Source organism: Homo sapiens, chromosome 3, assembly GCF_000001405.40.
Source record: "Homo sapiens chromosome 3, GRCh38.p14 Primary Assembly".
Taxonomy (NCBI): Eukaryota; Metazoa; Chordata; class Mammalia; order Primates; family Hominidae; genus Homo; species Homo sapiens.
Genome location: NC_000003.12, coordinates 46,253,094 through 46,275,782, shown reverse-complemented (window position 1 = coordinate 46,275,782; position 22,689 = coordinate 46,253,094). Strand labels below are relative to the sequence as shown.

General features: G+C 40.3%; 1 protein-coding gene across 6 annotated transcripts in view; it reads right to left on the bottom strand.

Annotated features, from left to right (window-relative positions):
* Window positions 1-9,076: 9,076 nt before the first annotated feature.
* Window positions 9,077-22,689, bottom strand: part of CCR3 (C-C motif chemokine receptor 3) — a 56,011-nt gene continuing 42,398 nt past the window's right edge. For 2 of the 6 annotated variants that reach the window (XM_006712960.4, NM_178329.3), the window contains one exon: window positions 9,077-10,635. In XM_006712960.4, coding sequence (XP_006713023.1) covers window positions 9,557-10,624 — 1,068 coding nt within the window. In that variant the 5' untranslated portion in view covers window positions 10,625-10,635 and the 3' untranslated portion in view covers window positions 9,077-9,556. Of the gene's footprint in view, window positions 10,636-11,327; window positions 12,391-13,439; window positions 13,519-22,689 lie in introns of all 6 variants that reach the window. The other 4 variants (NM_178328.1, NM_001837.4, XM_017005685.2 and 1 more) reach the window with 4 other exon arrangements.

Genomic DNA, 22,689 nt, shown 5'->3' with positions numbered 1-22,689 from the left:
ATGGTTTCCAGCTTCATCCATGTCCCTGCAAAGGACATGAACTCATCCGTTTTTATGACTGCGTAGCATTCCATGGTGTATATGTGCCACATTTTCTTTATCCAGTCTATCATTGATGGGCATTTGGGTTGATTCCAAGTCTTTGCTATTGTGAACAGTGTTGCAATAAACATACGTGTGCATATATCTTTATAGTAGAATGATTCATAATCTTTTGGGTATATACCCAGTAATGGGATTGCTGGGTTAAATGGTATTTCTGGTTCTAGATCCTTGAGGAATCGCCACACTGTCTTCCACAATGGTTGAACTAATTTACACTCCTACCAACAGCATAAAAGCATTCCTATTTCTCCACATCCTCTCCAGCCTGTGTTGTTTCCTGACTTTTTAATGATCACCATTCTAACTGGCATGAGATGGTGTCTTATTGTGGTTTTGATTTGCATTTCTCTAATGACCAGTGATGATGAGCTTTTCTTCATATGTTTGTTGGCAGCATAAATTTCTTCTTTTGAGAAGTGTCTGTTCATATCCTTCTCCTACTTTTTGATGGGGTTGTTTTTTTCTTGTAAATTATTAAAGTTCCTTGTAGATTCTGGATATTAGCCCTTTCTCAGGTGGATAGATTGTGAAATTTTTCTCCCATTCTGTAGGTTGTCTGTTCACTCTAATGATAGTTTCTTTTGCTGTGCAGAAGCTCTTTAGTTTAATTAGATCCGATTTGTCTATTTTGGCTTTTGTTGCCATTGCTTTTGGTGTTTTAGTCATGAAGTCTTTGCCCATGCCTATGTCCTGAATGGTATTGCCTAGGTTTTCTTCCAGGGATTTTATGGTTTTAGCTCTTATATTTATGTCTTTAATCTATCTTGAGTTAATTTTTGTATAAGGTGTAAGGAAGGGGTCCAGTTTTAGTTTTCTGCATACGGCTAGCCAGTTTTCCCAACACCATTTATTAAATAGGGAATCCTTTCCCCATTGTTTGTTTTTGTCAGGTTTGTCAAAGATCAGATGGTTATAGATGTGTGGCGTTACTTCTGAGGCCTCTATTCTGTTCCATTGGTCTATATATCTGTTTTGGTACCAGTACCATGCTGTTTTGGTTACTGTAGACTTGTAGTGTAGTTTGAATGCAGGTGGCGTGTTGCTTCCAGCTTTGTTCTTTTTGCTTAGGATTGTCTTGGCTTTAGAGGCTCTTTTGTGGTTCCATATGAAATTTAAAGTAGGTTTTTCTAACTCTGTGAAGAAAGTCAGTGGTAGCTTGGTGGAGATAGCATTGAATCTATAAATTACTTTGGGCAATATGGCCGTTTTCACAATATTGATTCTTCCTATCCATGAGCATGGAATGTTTTTCCATTTGTTTTTGTCCTCTCTCATTTCCTTGAACAGTGGTTTGTAGTTCTCTTTGAAGAGATCCTTCACATCCCTTGTAAATTGTATTCCTAGTTATTTTATTCTCTTTGCAGCAATTGTGAATGGGAGTTCACTTATGATTTGGCTCTCTGTTTGTCTATTATTGGTGTATAAGAACGCTTGTGATTTTTGCACATTGATTTTGTATCCTAAGACTTTGCTGAGATTGCTTATCAGCTTAAGGAGATTTTGGGCTGAGATGATGGGGTTTTCTAAATAGACAATTATGTCATCTGCAAACAGAGACAATTTGACTTCCTCATTTCCGAATTGAATACCCTTTATTTCTTTCTCTTGCCTGATTGTCCTGGCCAGAACTTCCAATACTATGTTGAATAGGAGTGGTGAGAGAGGGCATCCTTGTCTTGTGCCAGTTTTCAAAGGGAATGCTTCCAGCTTTTGCCTGTTCAGTATGATATTGGCTGTGGGTTTGCCATAAATAGCTCTTATTATTTTGAGACATTCCATCAATACCCAGTTTATTGAGAGTTTTTAGCATGAAGGGGTGTTGAATTTTATTGAAGGCCTTTTCTGCATCTATTGAGATAATCATGTGATTTTTGTCATTGGTTCTGTTTATGTCATGGATTACGTTTATTGATTTGTGTATGTTGAACCAGCCTTGCATCCCAGGGATGAAGCCGACTTGATCATGATGGATAAGCTTTTTGATGTGCTGCTGGATTTGGTTTGCCAGTATTTTATTGAGGATTTTTGCATTGATATTCGTCGGAGATATTGCCTGAAATTTTCTTTTTTTGTTGTGTCTCTGCCAGGTTTTGGTATCAGAATGATGCGGGCCTCATAAAATGAGTTAGGGAGAATTCCCTCTTTTTCTATTGATGGGAATAGTTCCAGAAGGAATGGTACAAGCTCCTCTTTGTACCTCTGATAGAATTCGACTGTGAATCCGTCTGGTCCTGGGCTTTTTTTGGTTGGTAGGCTATTAATTACTTCCTCAATTTCAGAACTTGTTATTGGTCTATTCAGGGATTCGACTTCTTCCTGGTTCAGTGTTGGGAGGGTGTATGAGCCTAGGAATTTATCAATTTCTTCTAGATTTTCTAGTTTATTTATGTAGAGGTGTTTGTAGTATTCTCTGATGGTAGTTTGTATTTCTGTGGGATCAGTGGTGGTCTCCCCTTTATCATTTTTTATTGTGTCTATTTGATTCTTCTCTCTTTTTTTCTTTATTAGCATGGCTAGCGGTCTATTCTGTTGATCTTTTCAAAAAACCGGCGCCTGGATTCATTGATTTTTTTGAAGGGTTTTTCATGTCTCTTTGTTCATTGAAGACCTACAGTTCAGTCCTGTCAATTCATGTGAGCCTATGTGGATCTCAGAGAGCTGAAACTTGGGGGCCTGGATTTGCCAGCAGTATGCTGAACTGGCAGAATTCATGGGATGTAAACTTTACTTTTGTTCCTCACTATCTCTTTAAACTGAATTAGAGGCTGAAGTTCTTCTATACTTGAATCCCTGAATGAAAATTCCGGCAGTCCCACGGCTTTCGTCATTATGCTTAGGTACAAAAAATCCCAGCATCATTTGAGGTCAAAAAAGGACAATTTCAATTCAAAAATTAAAAAGCTGATCCCCATATAATAATCAAAACTCCATTTGATTTGACACTGAAATCTTCCCCACTTTCCCAGCTCACCCAGCTGGCTGAGGGATAACCACTTGTGGGAGAGAGGAGCGGGGCACAACCCTGTCTATTTTTCTCTCTGTCCTGCATTTTGACACCTCCCCAGTTTGCTAAGCATGGATTCTCACCCTCTCACTGTGTGGGAGCTGGGAAGGGAAAAAGGGTTGGTGTTAGGAAAGTTTTTGTTTGACTGGTCCTGTCATAAGATGGTGTCGTCCTTTCTGGGGCTGGTGGATGTTTACAACTTAATCATTTCTCTCATGGGCTGCTTTGGTAGAGTCATTGGCGTCATTCCTCGAAATATTCAATGTAACTCCTGTTAGTTTTTAAAAAATGCATTTTCCCTGGCTTTCAACCTCCCATCATCCTGTCGTTTTGGCAGGCCACTGCATACACATATGCTGTTGGGGTCCACAGGGCAGGATTGGAAATCCTCCAGTCAGCTCTCTGGGATCTGGCCCATATAAAGAATTCTACATTCTTGGCCAAAATCATCTCTAGAAGTATAGATCCCTCCAAAAGTAATGGCAGTTCTCCTCCACCCTACCCCCAGTGCAGCTGGCTGGCCTGTTCCTTGTCTCCAGATTTCCTGGATGTGAGTCAGATGCTGATGCGTGGTGCTTCTTTAACTCTGGTGACTCCTACTGAGCTCTCAGGTGGTGCCATTGGCATCACTCTCACCAGGCTTAAGGTGAGAAGCAGGCATCCCTGAATACCAGTAGCCCTCTACAAAAAACTTTTCAAATACCTCCTTAATTTCATCAATCAATCCAATCCCTTTGTCCCCCTTATAAGTGAGGGGTCTCAAGAGTTGTGAAATCTGTTTTTACAATTCCTTTGGAAATTATCTTATAGTCTACTTTGGGATACAGTATTTAAAGGACCCTACTGCCTCAATAAAAACTTCCAATATATCTTGGTGCATACTGTTAGTGTTTTGCATTAGTGAGAAACATTTGACTAATATACAATTGAACCCTATTTTGCTTGCTTTGTACTGCATCCAGGCTCAAGGAAAAACTAACCTGGGGACTTAAGTGGCTTGATCACCTCACACTCCAAGTTTTCCCCCCGACAACCCGTTCTCTCTCCTCCTCTCCTCCTCATGGCTGAGGAGAGCCAAGTCCTGTGGATTATCAGGAGTCAGGAAACTTATTCTGTAAAGGATAGAAAAGTAAATATTTTAGGATTTATGGGCTATACAGTCTCTGTTGCAACTATTCAACTCTCATAGTAGTGCAAAAGCAGCCACAGACGATGCATAAAAAAATGAGCCTGGCTGTGTTCCAGTGACACTCTATTTACAAAACAGGCAGTGGGCCAGGTTTGTCCTGCAGGTCCTTGTCCGAGCCCTGGATTAGGTCAGAGACTAGCAAAAGAAGAATGGTGACCCTAACTACACTGGGGATTTACCTGGGAAGAAGTGGATGAAAACCTCAGTGAAGTTTTTTACAGTCCATAGGCTAGAAAGGACCAGAAACTGCTTTGTTCAGGAGATATGAAGCCTTTAGAATTTTAGCTCTAGAATCTGGAGAACATCTCAGGAACTCAAGCTGGAAAGGGACCATCTTCTGAAATAGCAGATTATGATGCTGAACAAAAGGAGGAGGAGTAAAGCAGCCAGGGAAGAAAACAGAGAGGCACATTCAAGGGCATCTGTCATTGCCCAATGTCACACTAGGCATCACCAGAGCAGGCATCTGTGGGTCACTTTTGTGCCACTGTGCCTTCCAACAAACTGACCCACCTGCCTGGATGCTACTCTCACTCCCACCATCTGCTTCATGAAAAACTGTTCTAACACTAGTTCAAATGCGTAGCAAATGCTTTATTTCTCAAGCCTTAACCAAGCATGCCCAACTGTCTTCCAACATCCAGCATCTACATCTTGTTGCCCCAGGAATGTTCTCCAAAGCTGGGAAGGCCTCCTGCCCTAGCAAGGCCAGCAGGAAGTGCTGGGGATTAACATCCCCCAGGAGCAATCCTCGGCCAATGACTGACAGGAGTGGATTATAAATACCCCAACTCCCTCACCCCTCAAATCAGGAGAAGTGTGTTGTACTGTCTCCCAGAGTTCCCTAGTGGCTTTAACTCCAGTCACCCCCTGTGAAAAATGGCTGGATAATGTACCCTTGTTCGCATCTTCTCCTCCCTCCCTATTTTACTTCCTCACTTCCCTACTGGAGTTTCCTGCACTTTGCAAATAAACTTTTTGCTCTCAAATCCTTGCTCAGGGTCTCTGCCTGGAGGAACCCCATCTAAGCAGAAAGACACCTTCTCTGTGCACCTTTCTTCAATGTCTCCATCCTACTCTCTGCAGCAGTGTCCTTCAGGCACCCCTCATGTTTCATTACAGCCACAGGAATCAGGTGGGTCTCTTCCACTGAACGGTGAGTGAGTGTTCTAGAAATGGATCTCGTTCATTTTGCATCACCAGGATTTTCCCTATTGTGCAGTGTTCAGGGCATGTGTTTGAGGGCTACAGGGTGCTGGATGCATAGGTAGAGGAGGGGTCAAGAGGCAGGTTTGAAGGGGCTGCTGCTGCACCACTACCAATGTGGCCATTTAAATTTAAATCCAAAGTAATTTAAATTGAATAAAATTTAAAAATTCAGTGCCTTAGCCACCTAAGCCACATTTCAAGTGCTCAAGTGCTCAATAGCTGCATGTGGCGATCATATTGGACAGTGCAGATATAGAACATTTCTCTCAGTGTATTTCTATAGTTCTTGAACAGAGCTGGGATGGGGAACAAAGCAGCACACACCAATTCATGATTTGGTTATGTGAAGTTTGAGAGAGTCAAAAAGCTCCTAAAAGCTTTCAAGGGTAAGAGGAGTATGGTATGAACAAGCATCTCTATCCTGCACTTGTGGTTACCTAAGGCAGATGCAACTTCATAATGCAAGAGAGAACCAGTGATGTGTAGTTCAGTTTTTAAATGATTGTTTTATTTACATTTTGGCTGAACCACAAAAAAGAGACGTACTTCAAATTGTCCTAGCCAAATTGAGATTCATGTTGCGTGGTTTAGAGTGTTACAGAGTTCACATCCTGTGTTGGCCATGCAGAGCTCTTAGATAGGCAAGACAGTGACAAAAGGCCAGGCCACTCACCAGAGGGTGAGGATGGATGGAATCATGACCAAGAGAATGCACTCCCTTTCTCCAAGCATTGGATTGGGAAATAAAAAATGTCTTCTGGTCTTCACGTGGAACTTTCATCTGGGTTGAATTCAAGCATTGGTAATTCCTTTATAAGGCATGATCATGAACTCTGGCAGTGGAGAACAAGAGCAGTGTCCAATTCAGTCTGATGGTGAGCCCCCTGCAGGCAGCATCCAAGTTGAGATTGAATTGGACATCCCCAAGGAGCTCACTGTCAGACTGAATTGGACACCTGTGGGTGTGCCCTTGTTTGTTTCCTCAGAACTTAGCTAAGAACATGGTGGATGCTCAGCAAATGTTTGCTGAATGGTAAATGACCAAATGAATGAACAAAACCTGAGTACCCCTTAGTGAACAGTGGGAACCATGCCTGGCCTCACGACCAATGGAGGTAATGCTGTGGGCTTGTCCACCACTCTTCTCCTCCTTTTTTTTTTTTATCATATATTTTGTAAACTTAGAGCCTCCAGCTCCTAACATTTTAGCAAGATTAGAGTCTACTTGGGCCACAGAGGGGCCTTAGAGATGATTTAATCCAACTTTTTTATTATATGGATGAGGAAATTGGGGCCAAAAGAGGCCAAATAATTTGTGCCAGGTCACAGGATTAATTCATGGCAGGAGGCTTCTAATCTCCTTATGGCTGGTAGGACGTATGCCTACTTCTGAACATCTACATAGCAGCCTAGCCTTTTATTTTTTATATCATTCTAAGGTTGTATTTATTTTTTGAATGAGAAGTATGTCCCCATGATTGAAAATCCAGAAGGCACAAAAACTCATGCTTCTTTTCCTCTTCTCCAGCCACCCCATATTGGTACTGGTTTCTTTTGTATCCTTAGAGAGATGGTCTATACACCTAAGTACAGAGTAAAACGTGTGTGTGTGTGTGTGTGTGTGTGTGTGTGTGTGTGTGTGTGTCTGTGTTTAAGCATATGATACACTCTGCTTTGCCCTTTGATTTTATATTTTCATTTTTTAAAATTTTTTACAACGTCTTGCTCTTGTCACTCAGGCTGAAGTGCAGTGGCGCCATCTCGGCTCACTGCAAACTTGCCTCCCGGGTTCAAGTGATTCTCCTGCCTCAGCCTCCTGAGTAGCTGGGATTACAGGTACCTGCCACCACACCCAGCTAATTTTTGTACTTTAGTAAAGATAGGGTTTTGCCATGTTGGCCAGCATGGTCTCTATCTCCTGACCTCGTGATCCGCCTGCCTCGGCCTCCCAAAGTGCTGGGATTACAGGCATGAGCCACCATGCCCAGCCTTGCCCTTTGATTTTTGCACTCAGCCATATATCACTCCTAGTGCTTTAATTCATCCTTCATGCTATCTCTTGGTCAAATTCTCCTGAGTGCTCCTGGAACCTCTCTTACCAGCTGCTGATCTTTCCTTGCCTCCAAACTTGCACTCACCTCCTAACTTCCCTCCTGCATGGTTCTGAGGCCTCCCCTCCATGCTCTATGTGTTACCAGATGTATCTTCCTACATTGTTTTTCTCCCCTGCTCTAAACCCTTCCATAGCTCCCCTTGTGTGAAGTTCATGGCCCACCCTACCCTGCCCATGCCACCCTCCTGTCCACAAATATGCATACCCTCCTCTCTCCCCTTGGGATGGGGCATTCCCTTGGGTTAAAGGTGCCTTCTCCCAAATTCTCTCCCTTTCTAAATCCTGCCTTTCTTTCAGAAAACTGCTCAAAAGCTACTTCCTCCATGAAATCTTCCTCCCCTCACGTTCCCACAAGAAGTCGTTTTTCCCTTCCTGGCCCAGGCATAGCATTGAGTGTCTACCCCTTTGCACCAGAGTTGTTTGTTTCCATCTTATACACCTTCTAGACTGAAGGTTTCATAGGGGCAGGGATTGTGCTTGTCTTACACATTTTTGCATCTTTCACTTAACCTGAAGCAGTGTTTGTGCACCCTGTCCGGATCACCTAACAGACAGCTGTTGGATGGAGAGCTGGCAAGGCTCACATTGCACAGTCATATGATCTCTACTGAGAGGCATAAGTTAATCAGAAGCTTAGAACTTACTTCCCCTAGAAGCCATAACTAGGCAGAACCAAAGGGAATGGAGACCTGAGCCATTCCTACTTTTTTGTGGGGGATACTTTTACATCATAAGTTGCATGTTTTCCTCCTTAGGATGTAGCTCACACAAAGTCATACTCATCTTTGTATCTACTATAGCTTCTAGGGCAGGGTATTAAATATAGGCACTCAAGAAAAGCTCAACTAAATAAAAATGATGGAGTAGAAAGACCCACTAAACTGATTGGTTTACGATGAACTGACATACATACGCTGTCCTGGGTGGTGATTGTTTTTGGCAGAGCCTAGATCACAAGGGTATTTTACATTTCCTTCTGACACTAAAATCTGCAATTTCAAGGATGGGTCTGGAATGTCCAGACATTTTAGCTAGGGCAGTTGTTCTAAAAGCGTGGTTCCAGGACCAGCATCATCAGCATCACCAGAAAACTTGCTAGTGATGCTAAGCACATTCTTGTGTCTCATTCTAGATCCGCTGAATCAGGAACTCTTGGGTGGGGTCCAGCCATCCACATTTTCACACAACTTCCAGGTGCTTCTGATGACAAGTTTGAGAGCCACTGAGCTACAGGTGCCGAGAGTCCCTGCAAGCCCAACACCTCCCCGCTCCATACCCGGGCTACTTCATATGTACAGGAGGCCCTGGCCTCCTCTGCAATGTCAGATTGGCATTAAGAGGACAGTGCACACTTCTCAGGGCTCTGTGAGTCACCCATGGGAAATTTTGTCATTCAGTGTGAACAGGAAATCAACAAACTATGAAGAATATTTAGAACAGGAATGGCATGCCATTATGTTGCTTACGATTATTTATTCACACTGAAAAAACAAGCTTTTCATTAAGCAGGGAAAGAACTAGGCACATTAGAAAATAAAATAGTTAACTTATTGTATTGTGTGAAAATGTTTTATTTATATCAATAGCTGGCTGAAGTTAATGTATAAAATATAAAAAGTTTTACCTTTTTGTAGCGGCATATAGTAACTATCTAACATTCAGGTGCATTAAAATGTAGGTAACTCATTTTAGAGAGAGAAGCAAAGCTCTGCTTTTTAGGGTTGATGATGAGTACGCTGCCCAGCCCCTGGCCTGTGGTAATGACCTTAGGGTACATGCATCTACTGCTACTGCTGTGTGTATATTTCAGTGTCTTCAAGAGCTTCAGTGTTGCACTGGAAGTTTGAAGGACTGTTTTAGAGGTGAGTGTGGAAGGCTTAATGTGTTTGCTTCATCTCCTTGGTCCTTCCTCTTTAGGCAATTTTCTGCATCTGACCTAAAACACAATAGAGAGTTCCGGCTCTGCTGTGGATGGAGAGACAGAGCTGGTTCTTTCCAGCTTCTCACTAGGAAGGAATGGGATGTATCTGCCCAGGTGCATGAGCAAGTGCCTGTGGAAGAAGTGGCGCAGGTACTTCCGGAACCTCTCTCCAACAAAGGCGTAGATCACCGGGTTCATGCAGCAGTGGGAGTAGGCGATCACCTCTGTCACCAGCATGACCAGGTCCAGATGCTTGCTCCGCTCACAGTCATTTCCAAATAAGATGGATTGATAGGAAGAGAGAAGGATAGCCACATTGTAGGGTGTCCAGAAAATGAAAAACACCGCCATGATGACAAAAATGAGCCGGATGGCCTTGTACTTTTTTTTACTGGGGCACCTCAGCAGCGTTTTGATGATTCCTGTGTAGCAGATGGCCATAACGAGCAGAGGGAGAACGAGACAGAAGATGGTCATTCTCAGAGTGTGGAAATGCCTCCAGCTATATACTGTATCCTCTGGGTAAAGAGCACTGCAAAGAGTCTCTTCAAACAACTCTTCAGTCTCATAGAAGATAAATTCAGGAAGAGCTGCTAGCACTGCCAGGCCCCAGGTGACGATGCTGGTGATGACACCAAAAGTGACAGTCCGGGCTCGAAGGGCAAACACAGCATGGACAATGGCCAGGTACCTGTCGATTGTCAGCAGGATTATGAAAAAGATCTCGCTGTACAAGCCTGTGTGATAAAACCCTGAGAGGAGCTTACACATGCCATGGCCAAAAACCCAGTTATGCCCCCTGACATAGTGGATCCAGAATGGAAGGGTGACGAGGAAGAGCAGGTCCGAAATGGCCAGGTTGAGCAGGTAGATGTTGGTCATAATTCGGAGCCTCCTGTATTTTATGAGGATCATCACCACCACCACATTGCCCAAGAGGCCCACAGTGAACACCAGGGAGTACAGCGGGGGCACAAACTGGGCCATCAGTGCTCTGGTATCAGCTTTTTCACAGAGCAGGCCCACGTCATCATAGTAGGATGTGGTACCAAAGGTCTCAACTGTATCTAGTGAGGTTGTCATTTCACTTCTCCCTGTGATAGAAGAAGAAAAATACAATCCCACAATGAAGCATAATCATCCTTCGTAAAACACACCAGTTGATTTATTCATGTACTCAACAAAGATGCCACATGTGATAGCAGCCTAGGGATTCTTTAACATGAATTTCAAAAGGCATATCAGAGGTGCCAGGAAAAGGATTGAGGAAGGAAAGAGCTGAAGCTTTCAAAGTTAGCATGACCCGGCATGGGAAAAGAAGCAGAAATGTTGTGGGGTGGTGGTGAAGAATGGGGATACAGATTTCTGAAAGCATTTAAAGGAAGAAATACAAAACAGGAAAAAACAGGCTAGATAATGATAACAATATAATAATCATTATTATTACTACTGTCTCTTACGGCATTTTGCATTTTATGTTTTACAGTTTACATATACCTTAAAAATCCTTATCCATTTAAAAGCAAAATATGTATAATAATAATAACAATGATTATTACAATTACAAGTAATTATGCTTCTCCAGGGCCCCATAATGATGAGCCATTCATTATAGTTAATGGGGAAATTGAACCTTGAAGAAATTTAGTAATTTGTTCAAAATCCTCTAACAAGTAAATATAAAATTTGGGCTAGATCTTTAGTCTCTATCCATGTCCATTTCTCCTGTCACTAGATTCAAATGTAGTGATTTTTAAATTTAACTTTTGAAAAATTTGCTACGGACTTGAGGAACCTGGCTTGTGTGCTCTTAACAGCATTCTTATTCCAAATGGCATAATCCAATCCACAGCAGCTGTGAAAAAAATACACATTTTGTCTGTTACACATGTACAATCACAGTAATTAACTATTACAATAATTACAATTATAAGCAGCATTAGTTTAGGTTACTTTCCTTTTCTTGCCCCTGGTGATGCTGAGTTAGGCCTGGTAACATGCAAAAAGCAAACCCCTGGGAGCTTCTCCATCACAAAGGGGTAAGCAGGAGGGGTCAGTCAATGGGATTTCTCACTGGACTTGATATTTCTTAGGCCAGGAGCCCTAAGGCCAGTGCCTGCTTTTCTTGAGATTATAGACTTCGGTGGAAAAGGAGGAAAATAGAAAACAGATAAGGCAGGAGTCATGGAAGGACAGTTAAGCCATGCACTAGTTCCTCAGAGGGCATCCAACTGACTTTCTCCTTTCTAGGAGGAAGGGACAAGGGTGAAGATGTGAATATACAGGCCGATGGGCATTTCTCAAGGTAAATCTGAGAAATGCTTAATAACTGGGGCCAATGCGGGGAATTGTTTTTGCTTCTTAATAGAATAATTGATCGAATACTGAGGCCCCACATGTTGGGGTTCTGGGTAGTCAAAGTCAGTGAGAATAGAGATGGAAATGGAGCCAGTCCTAGCGCCTCTCAGCTGCGTGCCTTGGACAAGCCCTTAATGCAGAGCCTCCTTTACTTATATCGAAAGTGAGGACCATTGGGTCACTTGGGGTTGTGATGAGGAAAAATGAGAGTGTATGTGAGTTCACATTTGAAACCAGAAAAAGCTGTAAAACTGGTAGGAAGCAGGAATGAAAGAAGGACAATTAGAAGCCATTTCAAATGAAATTAGGAAAAATAGGGTCCCTTGGGTGGAACTTGTTGATCTCTTTTCATGGGTCTGTCCAGGTACATCTCCCACTGATCAATGGCACATTCCAGGCTTTTGAGGAGGAAAATGGACTGAGGAACAAATGGTTTGTGTGTGCTCCCATCAGCATTCTTATTCATAATAGCATAATCCAATCCATAGCAGCTGAGAAAAAAAATACACATTTTGTCAGTTACACACGTACAATCACAGAGTGTCCTTCTGCACTTCAGCATCTAAAGCAAGAAAAGAACAGAACTGCTAATTCTGGAGAACAAAGGTATAGTAGCCTGTATTCACCGTTAATTATTTGTATTTATTTTCCTTTTTCTCCAAGAGTGATTTAAAAACAGGTCAAACTTTAAAAAAATTACTTAAGTTTTGCTCAGTTTGAGGGTAGTGTCTTTAATTCATGTGTTATTTCTATAAAATCAACATGATCGGGATGATAAACCATAGAACCTTTTGGTTTGGGTTTCAGGGCTGCCTATGAGCTTTTAGCACTGAAGTTCACAGCTCAAGAAAGCATGCAGGTCCTCCAGAGTCAGCAGCCAAGTCCTTGATTACTAGCTGCATGGGATCAGAGACAGAAAATCTCATATGGGCAGGGGACCTTGGCTCATGCCTGTAATCCCAGTACTTTGGGAGGCCCAGGTGGGAGGCTCACCTGAGCCCAGGAATTCAAGACCAGCCTGGACAATATAGTGAGATCCTATCTCTACAAAAAAATAAGAAATTAGCCAGGCATGGTGGCGCATACGTGTGGTCCCAACTACTTGGGGGGCTGAGGTGGGAGAATCCCTTGAGCCTAGAAGGTTGAGGCTGCAGTGAACTGTGATCACGCCGCTGCACTCCAGCCTGGGCGACAGCCAGACTCCATCTCAAAAAATAAATAAATAAATAAATAATTAAAAATTAAAAAATTAAAAACCTGATATGGTTTTCACCTGTCTACCCAGTCTCAATCAAGGTGAATACTTAGATACAAAATAGTGAAGAGGTTTGAATTAGGCTTTCAAAATGGCCTTTTACATTTTGGAAAACGATAGGGTAATCGTAAATAAGTAAGAACAATAAGAAAGAAGAGCACAAAAACGAAAGTAAAAATCACCCAATCTCCTCATGCAGCATTTACCACTGTTAACATATCTCTGTGCAGATATGGATGCCCGTGTGCAAGATTTACAAAAGTGAGGTCAACTAAAATTACTCACAATACAACTCAGCAGTGAAATGTGCAATGATTCTTTAGTCTCCAAACTATTTTGGTCTCTGTTACCAGCTTCTCATCTGCTGGATAGCAGGAAAAAGGATTCACACATTTTAGTCCAAAGTGGTTTAAACTTCTCTTGATTCATTCATTTGAACAATGATTTTAGGTTTTACTCATCCTCTTTATGCTGTCAGCTTATAATTTCAGTTTCTTCTTTCAGTGTTCCTTTCTAAGATGGTGGCAGAGATCTGGAGGAAGGGCCACTACAACTTGAGACATGGGGCAGAGTGGGAAGGGGGTGTTCCTGTCTCCTGTTGGTCCTTGATTTATATGACTGGTGTCTGCTGAGTGGGGGTGACCTGGTTCCAACGCTGAGCCTTTTTCTGGAACCTGCTGTGGTGGTTTGTAGCTAATATACTCATGAGGTATTCATTCTTAGTCTTCCTTGGGCTGGAATGGAGAGCCCTCTCTGTTACCACTACGCCTCCACCAGGGCCCTGGCCCTGGCCCAGGCTATGCACCTTTTCCTGCACTGGTAGGCACTGAGGCAAGGCTGCTGCTCCTTGACTCCCTGCCCATGCCATGAACAAACCGAGGAACTCTCAAGAGTACAAACTAGATCTTTTTTTTCTGCCTGACCACCAACTTAACTGCACTGGCCATCCCATCTGGTAAGGAAGTGCCCCACAGGGAGACATTCCTTGGGGGTCCCCATCTTAGCAGAGAGCGCTCCATGCCCCCTAGCTCTGATGGGGAAGGTAGGGATCCACAGGTGTGACTGCTTCCTTTCATAACCACTGTGTCTCTTCTCACATTCCCTGGGGTCAGAGGAGAGGAGCCTCCTCCTCTCCATTCTTATCTGACAAATTTTAAAACACTATGTGTTGAATAACCATCCTCTCCCCTTTGGGCTTGAAATATCACCTTTGTCGTATATTCTTTAATGTTCCTGAATCTGATTTTGTACCTTATATTCTATTGATATCTTATTTCTGTGCTAGAGACACTTTTTATTGTAGATTTATTAGATGATTTATATAGATGATCTTATTATGCAACTCCCTTTCATTATACATTTCCAAATGTCTTACCTATTAGAGCCATTTGTTTTATTAAACTTTAGGATCATCTACTCAATTACTTATAAAAACATAAGTTTGGGTGGAATTGTGTTACATTTGTAAATAAATTTAGGAAGAATTGATAACTTTACAATATCAAGGTTTTATACCTGGGAATGTGATTTTGATCTGTTTTGAAGGTTATTTAAAGGTTATTTCAACATGAAGAAAGAGGATAATAAAGAACAAAAGTTAAATGAACATAGAAAGTAGGAGGGAGAGAAAGAATGAGAGAGAGAATCTTATGTGGTTAAACTGGATAAAATTGAATGAATTTATTACAAGGATTTTAAAATGGGCTTTCAATATCAAAGTACACTGATGCAAAACTAGAATTTGGTCTTCTTTCTGTTAAAAACCACAAAGTTTTCTTGGATTATTAGTCTACTCTTGATAAGAGTAATGAAAGTGTTTTCTCTGCCTTTTAAGTGATCTGCCTAAAAGAGCAGATTTTATTTCTCATCAAAATAATTTCCTCTGCCTCATGTTGTGTTTATCAAGATCTTTGATTACTTAAGAAAATAGAGTTATTTGTGTTACAGGAACTAAGATTTTTCATTTTTGTTTTCTTAACTATTGCCCAAGACCATTGGAACTCACCTCTTACATCTGCATAACCTGGATGCAAGACATGGAGTCAAAGGAGATCATTCTGGAGCTTTAAGGTTTGACTGCCCTGCTGGATTTTGAATTTGCATGGGGCCTGTAGCCCCTTTGTTTTGGCCAATTTCTCCCATTTAGAATGGCTGTATTTACCCAATGCCTGTACCCTCATTGTATCTAGGAAGTAAGTAACTTGCTTTTGATTTTACAAGTTCATAGGCAGAAGGGACTTGCCTTGTCTCAGATGAGATGTTGGACTGTGGACTTTTGAGTTAATGATGAAATGAGTTAAGACTTTGGGTGACTGTTGGGAAGGTATGATTGGTTTTGAAATGTGAGGACATGAGATTTGGGAGGGGCCGGGGTAGAATGACATGGTTTGGCTGTGTCCCCACCCAAATCTCATCTCGAATTGTAACACCCACAATCCCCATGTGTCGTGGGAGACACACGGTGGGAGGTGATTGAATTATGGGGGTGGGTTTTTCCTGCACTGTTCTCCTGATAGTGAATGAGTCTCACGGGATCTGATGGTTTTTAAAAGGGGAGTTTCCCTGCACAAGCTCTTCTTCTCTTGTCTGCCACCATATGAGATGTGCCTTTCACCTTCCCTCATGATTGTGAGGCCTCCCCAGCCATATGAAACTGGAAGTCCAATAAAACTCTTTCTTTTGTAAATTGCCCAGTCACAGGTATGTCTTCATCAGCAGCATGAAAATGGACTAATACAACTATGTAACTTTCTGTATTTGCCTTTGAAATCTTTTACTTGTCACTTTGGCTAAATGGATACCTAAGTATTGTTTCACAGTGAACTATGATCCTATTTAATCAAGTGCTTTAAATCTTTAGACATTTTTGACAACCTTCCTAAATCAATTCTACATACAGTCTTTTTTTACCTTAAGCTAACTTTGGAATTTTGCAGAGAGCCTCTGGAAAAACCTCAAAGGAATTTATTCTCTCCTTATATTATAAAAAGAGAGATGTTAGACTAATTAAGTTTATTTAACATATTACATTGCATGGGAAGAACTGCCAAATAAGAAATAATGTTAAATCTTCTTTATGTTATATTTGTATAGATATATCTTATTAATATGTGTTTCAGAAATTATATGAATTTCCTAAATATCAGATATGTCCTGGTATAATTTTACCAGCCATGTGTTGTATATCAGCCATATGTTGTATATATTTTATCAGCCAAAATGTTGTATATCACAGAAATAACCAAATTTCTTCTTCAACTGCATTATAGTAAATTCTCAGGGGCATTTTAAACCATTGTTCATCCACAGCAGTTATTGTTTTACTCTGGTGCTTTCCTGAAAGCTTTTGCAAATACCTTATGGTACAAAATGACATGAAATTCATAGAAAGACTCTGACACATACAGGTTTCTGACAGTTTTGAACTAGGGTTGTTTCTAGCCTTACAGTCCTGCAAGCTGAAGTTGAATTACCTAAAATAAACTTCAGAGAAATCACCACAACAGCTTGTATATGAACATCTTTTGTGCATGTTGCTGCACAGCCACTCAGAAAGTTCCCTGGACCTCCACTGACATTACCAGAGACATTCAAACTGCAAGCCAAGAAAATCTATTAGAGTGAAACAGCCATATTTTTTAAAATGCTGTTTCTATGTCATTGAATCAGGAATTGTAGCCCTAAATCTTAGAGATCTAAGAGATCAGATCCTACTATTCTACCAGATCAGGGAAGCACAATTGATTGGCTAAATCTTGGCTCTTAAGTAGGTTGGTTTGGTTGGTTTTGGGGTATTTTTCAGACTCTTGGTATTATCCTCCTATTAGTCATATTGATAATATCCCTTATGCAATGTAGTCTCACAAGGATCTTAAATGCTTGTCAGCAGCCACTAACTCAACAGTTGATCTCCGTGAGGATTGAAAACCAAAACTATATGAATAAGAGTCATCAAAATAACTTACTGAGATTCTAGTTTGTGACCTATAAATGTCTACAGAAAGGAAAGCAACATGTAGTAACCAAGGGTAATAGCCAGTCACATTCTCAGTTCAAGCGAGAGGATGACCAAAAGTGGGGAATTGTTAAAGAAAAATAAAAATGAAGGCCACAGTTTAGATATGTCCCAAGGCCCAGTGCTGATCATATTCTTGAAAAACACAATCCCAAATGCTATAATGTTGAAATCCCAAAAGATCAAAATCACAATCCTAAAAGACTAAAATTCCTAATGTTGAAATCCTGAAAGCTGAATTCTGGGGAAGGATTAGTGCATTTCTGGTTGTACACACCGTAGTTGCATAATGTTAGTTGCATCGTGTTAAGAAGAACTATTACTTGCTATTATCTTTATTTGGAAATTAAGTATGGTTTAAGGAGATGTGTATGCATGTCAACTTGACAAAGGGTGGATCTGTGGACTTAATTTTAGATGTCAACATGACTGAGTAAAGGAATAACTAGAAACTTGTTGAAGCATTGTATTGAGTGTGTCTGTGAAAGTGTTTCCAGAGATTACTGTGTGAGTCTGAGTGGATTAGGTGGGAAAGATCTGCTTTCAGGGTTGACAGGCACCATCCAATCAGCTGGGGGCCTGAAGAGAACAATTACAGAACGCAAATTGGTCTGTCTTTGAGAGCTGGAACAGACTTTTCTTCTGTTGCTTTAGACATCAGAAATCCAGGCTCACCAGCCTTTGAACTATACAACTACCCACCTCCCCCAACTCAGTGGCTTTCAGCCTAGGACTGAGAGTTACAACATTGGCTTCTCTGTTTCTGAGGCCTTCAGAGTTACACTGAGCCACACTACCTGTATTCCAGGGTCTCCAGCTTGTAGATGGTCTGTTGTGGGACTTCTTAGCCGCCTTAATTGTGAGCCAATTATCCTAATAAATCCCATCTCATATATCTACATACATATCCTATTGGTTCTGTCTCTGGAGAACCCAGACTAATATAGATTTGGTATTGAGGAAGCTGAGTATCATCCTTCTTACTGGAATGATATGCCATTATGGTTTTAAATACTAATACATGTTAAGGACTCTCAAATTGATGTCTTAAGCCCTGACCCAAATTCCTACTCAAAATTTCATCTTAAGTGTCTAATGAGCATCACAATATTCCATTACTCTTCCTTTACTCTCAATGGAAGAGACTGGTGAACTTTTTTCCCAGAAAAAAAAAAAAAAAAAAAAAGCCTGGGACAAGCTAAGTGTATGAGGTTACTTTAATGGTGAAAGATAACAATGTTAAAGTTGATTATTATTGGTGCTACAAAAGCACCAATCCTTTAATTGCAACAGCCAAGCAATAAACGGACTTTTAAATGGACAGCATATACTTAGGCAATGTGTAGACAACAACGACTCTCCAAATACAAGTGCAGCAAGTGTTTTGAAGAGCTTAGAAGTGAAAACACACGGAAAAAATACAAGAAATTTCCCTTGCCAAGTTACTCAATTGTGTATCACTTCTGTTCCTTCACCCCTAGTGCCAATTCACTATGCTATGTATTTAATCTTTGCATCATTTTCAGTAGTGGAGTTATAAACTGTGTAAAGACATTTAGAGAGTTTTATTATGTTTTATGCAATTTTTTTTTGCAAATTTGACTCCTGAAGGTACATTACTACTACAACTTTGTGTGTAAGCATTGTGTGTGTGTGTGTGTGCACAAATGTGAAGACCTCCTTGATAAATAAACAGATGTCCTTTTTGTGCCTCTGTGTTTGTGAAAGATACAATTTCTCGAGGTCTTGGCTCTTTGGGCAACTGGCAAATATGGTGGTGACCCATCATGATTCTCGATTGATCTCATCCAAAGAATTAGGATGTCCATCACAGTATTTCAGATGACTACAGTTTATAAAGCTGGGTGCACACAATTATTAACTATAGTGATATGCATTTATACATTGTGATTTTTTACGCAATTTATTTATGAATAAAATTTTGACACTATTTATTTATGAATAAAATTCATCTGCTCATAACTGTTATACCCTTGTGACTGTTGTTAGTATACCTGAGTGTTTATGCTTGCAAAAATATATATATTATTCCCTATTGTGAAGTGTTCTGTTGTGTTTTTATAAGTTTTTCAAAATAAATCCACCTATAGGAATATAAATAAATGTCTTTTAAATTATTGTTTTCAGAGTTATATTTTCAGGATTTTAATATTTTGGGATTGTGGTTTTGGATTTAAAATTTTAGTCTTTCTGGATTTCAACATTTGGGATTATGGCATTCAGGATTGTGTTTTTCAGGATTACAGCCCAAACTCCTCAAGGCCAACCACCCATAGCCACATAGCCAAGACTGAAGTCATCCTGATTTCCCTGAAAAGCCAGATGTAATAATAAATGAAACACAAAATATAAAGTTTATGTCATTGTCAGCATGATTCAGTGAAATTAAACCAATCTGCTATAGACAAATCAGCTTTAAATGTTCTTGTTGCAACACCATGTTAATGTATAACAGCAAATCACAAAAAAAGTTCAAAATACTGAAAGATCTCTGCAAGGAAAACTACAAAACACTGCTGAAAGAAATCATAGATGACACAAAAAATGGAAACACATCCCATGCTCATGGATGGGTAGAATCAATATTGTGAAAATGACCATACTGCAAAAAACAACCTACAAATTCATGTAATTTCCATCTCAATACCACCATTATTCTTCACAGAACTTGAAAAAAAATCCCAAAATTCACATGGAACCAAAAAAGAGCCCACATTGCCAAAGCAACACAGCAAAAAGAACAAACCTGGAGGCATCACGTTACCCAGCTTCAAACTACACTATTAATATAAGGCCATAGTCACCCAAACAGAATGGTACTGGAATAAGAACAGGCATATAGACCAATGGAACAGAATAGAGAACCCAGAAATAAACCCAAATACTTAAGGCAAACTGATTTTCAACAAAGCAAACAAAAACATAAAGTGGGGAAAGGACACCCTATTCAACAAATGGTGCTGGGATAATTGGCTAGCCATGTGTAGAAGAATGAAACTGGATCCTCATCTCTCACCATAGACAAAAATCAACCCAAGATGGATCAAAGACTTAAATCTAAGACCCAAAACCATAAAAATTTTAGAAGATAACCTCAAAAGAACTCTTCTAGACATTGGCTTAGGCAAAGAGGTCATGACCAAGAACCCAAAAGCAAATACAACAAAAACAAAGATAAATAGATGGGACTTAATTAAACTAAAAAGCTTCTGCACAGCAAAAGAAATAATCAGCAGAGTAAACAGACCACCAACAGATTGGGAGAAAATCGTTGCAATCTACACATCTGATAAAGGTCTAATATCCAGAATCTACAAGGAACTCAAACAAATCATCAAGAAAAAAACAAATAATCCCATCAAAAAGTAGGCTAAGGACATGAATAGACAATTCTCAAAAGAAGATATACAAATAGCCAACGAACATATGAAAAAATGCTCAACACCACTAATTATCAGGGAAATGCAAATCAAAACCACAATGTGATACTGCCTACTCTTGCAAGAATGGCTATAATAATAAAAAAAAAAATAGATGTTGGCGTGGATGTGGTGAAGAGAACACTTTATGCTGTTGATGGGTATGTAAACTAGTACAACCCCTATGGAAAACAATGTGGTGATTCCTTGAAGAATTAAAAGTCGATCTATCATTTGATCCATCAATCCTACTCCTGGGTATCTACCCAGAGGAAAATAAGTCACTATATGAGAAAGATACTTGCACACACATTTATAGCAACACCATGGTATACTACTCAGCCATGAAAATGAATGAAATAATGGCATTTGCAGCAACCTAGATGGAATTAGAGATCATTATTCTAAGTTAAGTAACTCAGGAATGGAAAACCAAACATTGTACATTGTCACTCATAAGTGAGAGCTAAGATGTGAGGATGCAAAGGCATAAGAAAGATAAAATGGACTTTGGGGACTCAGGGGAAAGGATGGGAGGGGAGTGAGGGATAAAAGACTACACATTGAGTACAGTGTACACACTGCTCAGGTGATGGGTGCACCAAAATCTCAGAAATCACCACTAAAGAAATTATTCATATAACAAACACCACCTGTTCCCCTAAAACCTATTGATTTTTTTTTAAAAAAGAACTTTGAACCCAGGGGGGAAAAATACTTCCCCTTTATGCTTTATAAACTATGCTGTAAGTGCTCTAAGTGGGAATCCCTACACTTTCAGATCTATGTCTCCTCACTCCCAAACTGTTCTTTTGTGTGCACAATAAACTTCTGCAACTTTAAATTTTGATCTGATTTTATTTTTGACAAATGTAAAGTTTCTTTTATTCTCCCCTTTCTCAATTTCCTCTCCTCCTCAGAGGGGAGTTTGTTGTCGAGCCCTCTTGATATTTGTTTATGTACTTATACACATAATTGTAAGTGGCTTTTTGGTACATAAATCAGGACCTCACATGGCACCCATTTCATTGCTGGATAATTCTATTCAGGGTGTTCTTGAGTGGTGGCTGAATTTATATACATAATTATAAGTGGCTTTTTGGTACATAAATCAGAGTAGGAAATATCAAGTTTTCTGTGACTTTTTAAACTTTATGTCTTGGAAATCTTTCTATGTCAATACTTGTAGAACTGTCTCATTCTTTGGTACATAAATCAGAGTAAGAAACATCAAGTTTTCTGAGCCTTTTTAAACCTTACATCTTGGAAATCTTTCTATATCAATACTTGTAGAACGGCCTCATTCTTTCTAATAGCGAGATGGTATTCCACTGTGTGGAATTTAAACAGTTTTCTATTAACAGAATTTAGATTACCCACACTGGGCATCAACACAAAATTTACCAGTATAACAAACCTGCACATTTACCCCTGAACCTAAAATAAAAGTAGAACAAAAATACTCCAAAAGAATCCGGTAATTCTAGTTTCCCTTAAAGGTTAACATGTGATGGGGTTAATAAAGAAACTTCCTGCATGTAAACTTAGTTAAATTTAATCTTAATTTAATCTAAATTAATAAAAGTGTTATATGCAGATAGTGGGAAGGATCATTTCACAGCATCCGAAAGTGGTCCAAATATGTCCAGGGCTCATTTAATGCAAACATTGACCAATTGAAATGCAGTCAAGAGGAAGCTTTACCCAGTAAAGATGAGTTGAAGAAGCCAAGCGTATCCATCCTGGAGAAAATCCACTTTGGGGAGGGGAGAGAGTATGATACTGGCTGGGCAGATGAGAATCAGAATTATGTGTGACTCCCTGCAAAGCCTCCCAGAACCAGCAAGAGGTAGTTCAAAGATGCAAATTCAACCACCACTCAAGAACACCTTGAGTAGAATTATCCAGCAATGAAATGGGTGCCATGTGAGGTCTTGAGTGAGCTGTGACTGGAGGAATTCACTCAGAGGCTGAGTGACTTCCTATCAGGGACGGGGTAGAAGGGATTCCCCCAGAGGGAGGAAGATTGGCTAGAGCAGCATTTCTCAGTCCTGGCTGCATGTGGGAGTCACTGGGGAGC